This window comes from Homo sapiens, chromosome 4, assembly GCF_000001405.40.
Source record: "Homo sapiens chromosome 4, GRCh38.p14 Primary Assembly".
NCBI classification, from domain to species: domain Eukaryota; kingdom Metazoa; phylum Chordata; class Mammalia; order Primates; family Hominidae; genus Homo; species Homo sapiens.
The window spans coordinates 155562175-155571856 of record NC_000004.12 but is presented as its reverse complement, the minus strand read 5'-3'; the positions used below and the strand labels follow the sequence as shown (position 1 = coordinate 155571856).

General features: G+C 38.5%; 1 annotated feature.

Annotated features, from left to right (window-relative positions):
- Positions 266-560: a silencer, noted in NCBI's record as "tiled region #7198; HepG2 Repressive non-DNase unmatched - State 24:Quies". NCBI's record gives its function as "represses a minimal TATA promoter and a strong SV40 promoter by Sharpr-MPRA in HepG2 cells {active_cell/tissue: HepG2}" and the evidence as "EXISTENCE:reporter gene assay evidence [ECO:0000049][PMID:27701403]".

Here is a 9682-nt window from a genome sequence, read left to right as displayed (position 1 = left end):
ATCACCTTCCTTTAGCAGAGGGCTTTCCAGAACACCCCGTTGGATTCCTGGTAAAACTTTCACTGGAGCACAGGCCAACTGGCCTCTGTAAGATGAGTGGCTGTCTCCAGATAAAGAATTTCTAACTGCTGCCTTCCAGAGCAGTGGACTGTGAGTGGGACAGTTCCATTTAAAAGACTTGGAGATGTGACTGACATGTAATATTCAGTTTTAAAGCAAACTCAGAGAGGTTAATTATCTTTTTCAAGGGCAGTATTTGAATTTGGATTTGTCTGACACTAAAGCTCAGAATGTGCCCATGCCAAACAAGCCCCAGCTGATATGATAAAATTGACTTTCTTATCTATCAGTCTTCAATTGACATTGTGTTCTGCACCACTACAAGAGGAAAAAAAAAAATAGGAGGATAATGGTTGCTGGGCAACCAAAGGCACCAGGATGTCCTGGTTGCAGCATAATCAGTTGAAACCTGGAAAGCCTCCCAGGATTAGACTACCAGGAGTAATTATTTATCTGGCCTCTAATATCCCATCAGAGTTGCCTTGAATTCCAGTCTCACATACTAAAATTATAGGCATTATCTCCAATTTCACATCATCTAGAATGTAATTATGTTCTGTGAGATAATTTAAGTCTATTGGCTGATGATTTAATCTATTGAGAAATTTATCCATAATTATAGTATCATCCCTGGGAGAGTTTCTGTATGAAACATAATTTTTTAAAAAGGAAATTTTCGTGATTTTAAGACAGTTATATTTCACCTGCATGGACTCACATATCCAAACAATTAAATTATTTAAAATATAACCAATAATTCAGATTTGTCTTAGTAGTGGATTAAGATTATAGAAACCAGCTTCATGTTTCCCAGTAAGGTACAAGTCACCCCAACCATGCAGAACATGCAAAAAGGGGTTCCCAAACCTACTTTTTAACACTTAGGCACTCACTGAGAGTAAGAAGGGTGTGAAATGGAAGTCGCTGGGCTAGTTGAAGATTGCTGAGGCTTCCTTTTGAGAGATTAGTGCTTGGTGTCCATCCTCCCTCCCCACCTCCAGCCACAGTGAAGGAATAGAGTTGTGTTCACTTTAAGACCAGCAAGGAGGCTTCGACTGACTACTAAACAAATTTACTATGTGCCCCTGCATTTGAAGGACAAAGTGAACTGATGGCATCACCTATGAAATCTCTATAGTGAGAGCTGCTTGTAGTGAGTTTCTATAGCAGAGTTGGGGTTATGTTTTTGAGAGAAACTGCCCTGCCTCTGACTACAGTACTAAGGTGTGTTTTCTATGTACCTACAGGCCATGTTTGAGAAGGATGGAGGTGTTGTTTTAGACTTTGTGTGGAAGGGACACAGGGAGGAGCAGAAAGACTTCATAAGAAAGATGCCAGAAATGGTCAAAATTAAATTAGATGCACAGGGACTGAGAGGGAAGTCGTAACTGGTCAGCTGGAAATTAAAGTTCCATTCTTAATCATGGGATTCAGGGGTGACGTCTCCTAAGAATCTCTATAAATGTTCCAAGAGAGAAAATGCCAGTATTGGGATGAGTCAAAGGAGAAGACCGCCACAGTCCCTTTCCACTGCAGGCTTCCTGCAGGAGCAGGGCCAAGTTGTTAATCACATTCAGAGATGAGATTGGTACATTGGACTTATTACTAAATGGAGTTTGTTTTGGAGAAAAACATGGCTGAAGGTCTTTTCACTGTGAAAATGTCCAGAAAATATATGGAGCCCACGTATGAGAGAAGAACCAGCTACAGAAGGACATTTCTAAACAATGATGGAAGATAATAAATCAGTTTTCTTGGTTTCTTATGCTGCCCACTTCTTAAAGGCTTCAGCTACTTCCCTTCCCTTCCCTTCCCTTCCCTTCCCTTCCCTTCCCTTCCCTTCCCTTCCCTTCCCCTTTTTCTTTTTCTTTTTTTCTTTCTTTTTTTTTTCAGTCTCACTCTGTCACCCAGGCTGGAGTGCAGTGGCACAATCTTGGCTCACTGTGACCTCTGCCTCCCGGGTTCAAGCAATTCTTATGCCTCAGGCCCCTGAGTAGCTGGGACCCCAGGTGTGTGCAACCATGCCTGGCTAATAATTTTTGTATTTTTAGTAGAGGCGGGGTTTCGCCATATTGGTCAGGCTGGTCTCAAACTCCTGGCCTCAAATGATCCACTCCCCTGGGCCTACTATAGTGCTGGGATTACAGGCATGAGCCACTGCACCTGGCTGGCTTCTGCTATTTTTCTAAAAAGAGCACTCCACTCCTAGCTTTGTTAACATCTGTGACATAATTTCCAATACTTTATAACCAAATTTCCCAGCCCCCAGAAAATAAGAGCTGAATCATGAGGAGTGAGATAAAGAGTGAAGCTAGAATGAAGCAGTGACAAAAATTATACATGCAGACATCATTTGGGCTCTGTATTATTCATGAGTTTTCACCAAATACAGTAAAGTCTCATTATCATTATTATCACTTTTTTTATTGAGATGGAATTTCACTCTGTCGCCCAGGCTGGAGTGCAGTGGCACAATCTTGGCTCACTGCAACTTCCGCCTCCTGGGTTCAAGTGATTCTCCTGCCTCAGCCTCCCGAGTAGCTGGGACTACAGGCACTTGCTACTATGTCTGGCTAATTTTTGTATTTTTAGTAGAGACAGGGTTTCACCATATTGGCCAGGCTGGTCTTGAATTCCTGACCTTGTGATTTACCTGCCTCAGCCTCCCAAAGTGCTGGGATTTCAGGCATGAGCCACCACGCCTGGCCAAGTCTCGTTAATTTGAGCTAACCAAGTGGAACTAACATGATGTCTTCTGTGTGCCAGGCACTCTGGCATCCATTGACTCTGTGTGAATCTCCCTGAACCAGAGGTTCTCCACAGGGTGCTGGGAATGGGTTTTAGGATAGTCAACATAGTGAGAGCCAGAAGGGCCTGAGGTTGAAGCAGCCGTGCCTCTTCATCTTGTGAGCTACTCAAACAGGACTATTTCCTTCCCATGTTCTAACTCGTAAAAGGTTGAGAAGGCATCCTCTAGGCAAATCTGTGAGCTAGATATTAATAGCCTCATTTTATAAAATAGAAAATGGAAGCTCATAGAGATGCTATTAAATTTGCAGTGAAGAGCTAATGTTCAATCTAACTTAAACTCTTCACTATATAATATTTTCTTCTAAATTAACAGGAAATTAGAAGGCTAGATCTTTTCATGATCATTTATGAAGCATGGGTTTGTGAATGAAGTGTTAAGACCAGAGTTTAACTTCTTAAAGTTTCGGAGTAATTTAACATTATTTGTATATAGTGATACATACACTAATTGTTAATAAGCACTAACACTCTATGAGAAGCGTTATTCTCATTACCTAGTACTCATGCATTTGCTTAATTATCACACAAAAATCAATAGGGGATGCCATTTTATTCCCATTTTCCAGAGCAGGAAATGGACACAAAGACAGCATCAGTAACTTATCCCAACAAGTAAGGTTAGGATTTAGGCTCAGCAGAGTCCGACCTCAAGAGTGAAAGCACTTTACAATAACTGAACATTGCCTTTTTTTTTTATTGGATAAATGTTAACTGAATATATAAATGAGAGAATCCATAAAGAAAGTGATATTATTAAAGTTAATAACTATGATACATGAATTGTTTTATGGATATTTAAATGCATAAAATAAAATGCATTTAAACTAATTTATGAAGAAAACTCTGTGAAGGGAGTTGAGTAGGTCAACCACCAAGTAGTAGGTGAAGCAATAGTAACACACTAATGAAATTCACAGGATGTTGAACAAGTACCATGCTTCAAATCCCCACCTACCATTATGATCTTGAAAAAAATTATTTATCATCTTCAAGTTTCAGTTCATTTACATAAAATGGGTGATTATAATATCCTTGTGAATGTCGAAGGAGTTTCTGTAGGTAAAATGCCTAGCACAACGTCTGTCACACAGTAAGCACTCAATGGTGGTTAAATAATAATAATAGCAATAGCTTGCATTTTAAAATATCCAAAAGTAATTGTTACAAAAATTAAGGTTATAATTGTCATATTAAAACAAAATATCCGTATCAGAGTTATTTTTGTCCTTCCATGCAATGACAATACAGAATAAAAAGTATATTAGAAGTTAATTAACTAAACTTCCTGTGATTTTGAGCAACTGACAATGTCTCTAAGCGTTAGTTAAATGGTAGTAATATGTTAAATGGGATACTACTCATTGCTGCCAAGGAGTGTTGTGAAAATAAAATGGGAATACAAATCTAAAAGTTACAAACATAAAGAATTATTGTTATAGGAAAGTGTTTGTCACAATGAGAATTCCTAAGACTATCTTACAATTATGTGTTTTCAGATGGTCACTATTTTCAACATGGATAACAATGTTCAAATTTGAGTTTTTAATCTTGTTCACTTTTATCTCAAAGTGGTGTTTGAAGATGACATACTCAAGAGAATAAGATATTTACTGCATTTTCAAAGTATCAGTAGCTGTTACACAGCGATCATGTTTTTCTACTCTATAATCTTATATTGAAAGAGTGATTGCTTGTAAAACATTTAAGAAGGGATAATTTTTATTTATAATTAAGTTGGGCTCACTGTATGATTTTAGCAAAGAATTTATTCTTTCTATGCTTCCTCTGAAACATTTATTTGATGAGGATTATAAAACCTGCCATTTTCTGCCTTATGTTTTTTGTGTACAGTGAAGTAATTTGACTGAAGATAAGTTGAAACCTTTGAAACGTTGGAGCTATTTGATACTATTGGACAACTTTGACTATGTCTCATACCCTGGAAAAAAATGTGCATTGACCAGACCAGACGAGGAAAGCTATTCAATTCCGTTCAATCTGTATTTACTAGCCCTTTAATGTACCTACCAGTGGACCTAATCACTCTATTACTATTATCTATCTGTAATTTCTACCCAATACCAATTTCTTTATCCAATTCTTTTTACTATAATTGCAATATGGGAACTATTAAAGTGGGTGGCGAATGGGGCTGGGGCTGTGGGTGGGGAGTGTGGCTGGGGCCATGGCTGGGAGTCTGAAAGAAAGTTGTAATGTCTCATTCGCTATGCATGCAGCATCACTCAGGAGATGGGGCTGTGTGGGAAGATAGAGTGAGCTGTGGTAGATGAGTGTCAGGGTTCATGGGATCAAGGCAGTACTGTGTTGGTAAATCTTTTGCAATGGGCTCTGATGGGGAGGTCTGGTTTGAGTGTTGACCAATTTCCATTGTGTAAATACTCCTATTTTGGCTGATTTCAAGTCACCTATGTGACTCATTGAACTGGGAGCTGGAAACATCAGCACAATTGGCTCTATTAAGTTAATGCAGTCCAGCTGCAGTACAATACTGGCTCAGGGGCATGAAACTTAGAAGAAAAAATTGACTGCTCTTGTCATGCGCATAAAAGAACCACCAGTGAGATTTGCCTTTCAGACAGAAATAAAAGCCAAGACTGCACTTGGTGTCTTCCCACCCTGAAACTAGAGAGTCTCCAAAAGCCATAATTTGAAATATTATTCCTTCATACTTGCACCACCTAATTTAGGAAAATTATAGTTATATTACAAAGTCTCCTCCCTCCTCCAGGGGCTGTCTTCCTCAATATTCTGGCATTAGTGAACTTTGTTTTCATTGTCTATTCTTTACTCAGAAACATATATTCTTTGAGTTTTTAATAAGGACATAATTATTATTATGCTTACTTCTCTTTATGGATGAATGTAATCATTTTCTGGACATAACATAATGTTTTCCTGACTTTTTGAATATGAAGTTCAAGAAATTGAAAGCTTTGGCTGAAGTTACTTTTTCTAAATATAGAATTATTATTCTTGTACCATATGTTTCTTGCACAGACAGTAAGTTTGATTACTGTGGCACTGTAATGCGTATGTTACAGAACATCCTGGCCATATCTATGAGTCTTGGCAGGGAAAAGGACACACAAATCTCTGAGCAGTCTTTTCAATCTGGGAGGGAAGATCAAAAAGTTAATGCCATAGAAGATCCTAGCCCAAAGTATTCGCTTTATTATAATACTATCTTTATCTAATAAGATTGCCACAAAATAGATATAGAATCATATATAGTCATGCATTGCCTAGCAACGTTTCAGTCAAGGACAAACTACATTTGGTGGACCCACAAGATTATAATGGAGATGAAAATTCCTGTCATCTAGTGAAATTGCAGCCATGGTGTTCCAATTGCTTGCAGGACTCAGCACAGTAACATGCTGTACAGGTTTGTAGACTGGGAGCAATAGGCTATACCATGTAGCCTAGGTGTGTAGTGGGCTATACCATCTAGGTTTGTGTGAGTTCACTCTATGATGTTTGCACAAGGACAAAATTGCCTGATGACATATTTCTCAGAACACAGACCTGTCATTAAGGGACAGTAGTAGTATCTTTAAAAACATTTTAGCTGATAAAACAATGTGTTTCTCAGGTGATTCAGCACCTTCCCAAGGTCACACTGCCAGTTAGTAGCAGAGTTGGGGGTCTCCTGACTCACAGTCCAGTTCTGTTATACTCTACATGGCCTCTCAAGGTAGACCCAAACCTGGATTCTCTCTATGAAGGTTGTACCAGCTAAGATGTAACTTGTCCTGTTTAAGAAGTTGCCAAATGGTTCTCAAAAATGTACTGATTTGGATTAAGAGCCCATTTATGTCTTGCTCTAAGCAAGGAGTGATATAAAAGTAGCTGACGTGTCAGAAAGGCTCAGTGTGGTTTCTCATGTTGGCCCTGTGTGTTCCTTATTGCCAATAACTTGGTAGTGACAGAGCTGCAGAGATACCACAGGTGTAGAAGGTGATCTGTATTTCTTCCAAGAACAGCATTTCATGTGAGCGGGAGTAGTGCCACGCTCAGATGCAGAGGTAAGAGATGATTTTGCCTGGAGTGAAAGAGAATAGCTTTATTTTCCATCCTGATACCTACAACATTTATCACATGTAAGTGAATTAAGTAACTAACACAGTCTAAAACAATCCTTCCTTGAAATATTCGAGAAAGATTTTCTTGGTTGTCCAAGGAGATAATGCATCGCATTTATTAACAGCAAAGTGTTAAATATAGAGAGGCTACAAAAAGGAAACCTTATATTTTACTCAGGTCTGAGGGGAACATTAAACTTTCCCACTTGGCCAATCAGTTAATTTAACACTCTCCAGAGGTTCCCAAAGAAGAGGCCCAGCCTCTTACTAATCAGTCAATATATATTTATTTTAAATAGATATTTTAAATATCCCATCACTTATGAGAATGTTAAACAAAAACTTTATGATTGAAAAGTTTTATTGTAGAATTATCTTCTTGACAAGTAGATCCTAAGAGAGTACAACAGCTCACATTCTGCAAAAAAAGAGGAATTAAGTAACAATACCCAAAGTGACACGGGTGCATAAAGAGATAGAGGGGAGGGGAGTTATGCATTTAGATAGTTCACAGAAAGGAAAGTGACAATAAAAATCCAAAACCTCACCTCGTATCCTGAGTCACAATGGGCCACACCTGCAGAAATGACAAGATTTGACATGCAAAAGAACTGGAAGTAATTTTCTCTTGACAGTAATATGAATTTCTCCTCCAAGACAGGCTGGCAAAGAGTGCACAGAAGAATAAGAAGTCACAAATTTGGAAATCCCAAGGCCAAACCCCAGCAGAATCTCACTTAGTGAAATCAGTAAATGCCACTTCAAAGTTGGTTGATGGAAATGAGAGAAATTGACAGCATCTATGATGTAGTTATCCTCCCAAAGGTCAGAGCAAAGGGAACCAGCAGGCAGCTCTTCCAATTTTCCAAGACTTAGTTGTAGAGATTTCGCTTCCCAAGACTCACCATGCCAATCTTTTGAAAAATATTTTCATAAAGTTTTTGTTTACTTTATATGCAGCTTAATTATATGCAGTTTAATAGAAAGAATACTTGAGCACAAAAAAGTATATACTATTTCAAATTTTAAAATACAGTGTTTTGGCTTATAATAATTTTCCATGAAATGGACACATTTGCTTATCTGCTCTCACATCCTATATAAACCTGTCCAAAATCATTGTTGATTACTCCTTCAAAATACATTCTAACTCCAACCATGCTGATCACACCTACTCTTACAGTGCTTCTCTGAGCCATGGGCAGCTCTCACCTGTATAATCACCTCCTAACCCATCTGTCTGCTTTGACCCTTGGGGTCTCCATAGTGCCTTCTCAACACAGTGGACAGGCTGATCCTCTGATCCTTTAAAAATCTAAAATGCAAAATTAGCCAGGCATGGTGGCGCACGCCTGTAGTCCCAGCTACTTGGGAGGCTGAGGCAGAAGAATTGCTTGAACCCGGGAGACAGAGGTTGCAGTGAGCTGAGATCATGCCACTGCACTCCAGCCTGGTTGACAGAGTGAGACTCCGTCTAAAAAAAAAAAAAAAAAAAAAAATCTAAAATGCATTAAAAAAAAAAAGCAGCACACCAGAGCATTCTGAATCTGTGCTCACACACTCCGTTGCACTCCAAGAGGAAGACAAAGTCCTCCAATGGCCTACCATCTGTCTCCCCTCCACCACTCCTCTCCCTTTCTCTGCTTCCAGCCCCACAGGAGCCTCCTCCAGCCATTGGTCTTCTCACTGGCCGTTCCCTCTGCTTGGAACACTCTTTCCTCAGAATGGCATGAATAAATTCCTAACCTTCTTCAAGTGTCAAATGTCGCTTTCTCAATGAAAACTACCCATCCCACTCCAAATTTTCCTTACCCTGTTCTACTTTTTTTCCCCTTATAGCACTTTTTGTCTGCTAATATTCTATACAATTATTACACTTATTGTTAATTGTCTGTCTCCCTGTTATAATGTAAGATTTATGAGGACAAGGGTCTTCGTGATAATCACTATTATATTTTGGCACCTAGAACACCAGGCACAGAGTTATTACTCAAAAAATATTTGTTAATGAATGAACTATAGACAATGGCATAAAAACTCAAATCACTTACAGGACAGGGGTAAAATTTCATTAGAAAAAATTGTGCTTACTTTGGAAGACATAAAAAATAGGCTACATCATAAAGATATTTTGAATAAATAATTCGCACATTTAGTTTAGTGGTTATAAACAATGTCAATAACATTTTGAGTTGATCACACAAATTAGGATGTGATTAAGAAATTTTATGTTAGGAAATAAATGATTTGTAAAGAACAGTTGAATGATCAATCAGAATAGTTTTTTACTTATATTTTAAATGAAATGAGGTTAATAAATAGCATTTGAACAGCTGTTATGCTTTGTAATGTTCCTGTTCCTGTTAGTGCTGTTAGTCAATGGGTAAGCACTTTGACAAGCTCATTATATGCCCCTTCCCTAATCTCAAACAAACCAAAAGGTTGGCATTAGGATTTATGTTCAACAAACAAGGAAGTTAGAGCTGGGAGAATATTGAGAGACTTGCAGGAGCTTAATTAGCTAATTTAAGACCCTACTCATGTGCCATCTTTCTTGATGATGCCCAAGTACAGTTGATGACTCGATCTTCTGTGCTCAAGTAAGTCCTTGAACATATCTGTAGCAGCAGCTGCCTCATGCTTTTGTGACAATTGCTTTGTCACAAAAAGCAATAGGAGTGATTGTCTTTCCAAATCCTAGAAGAGGT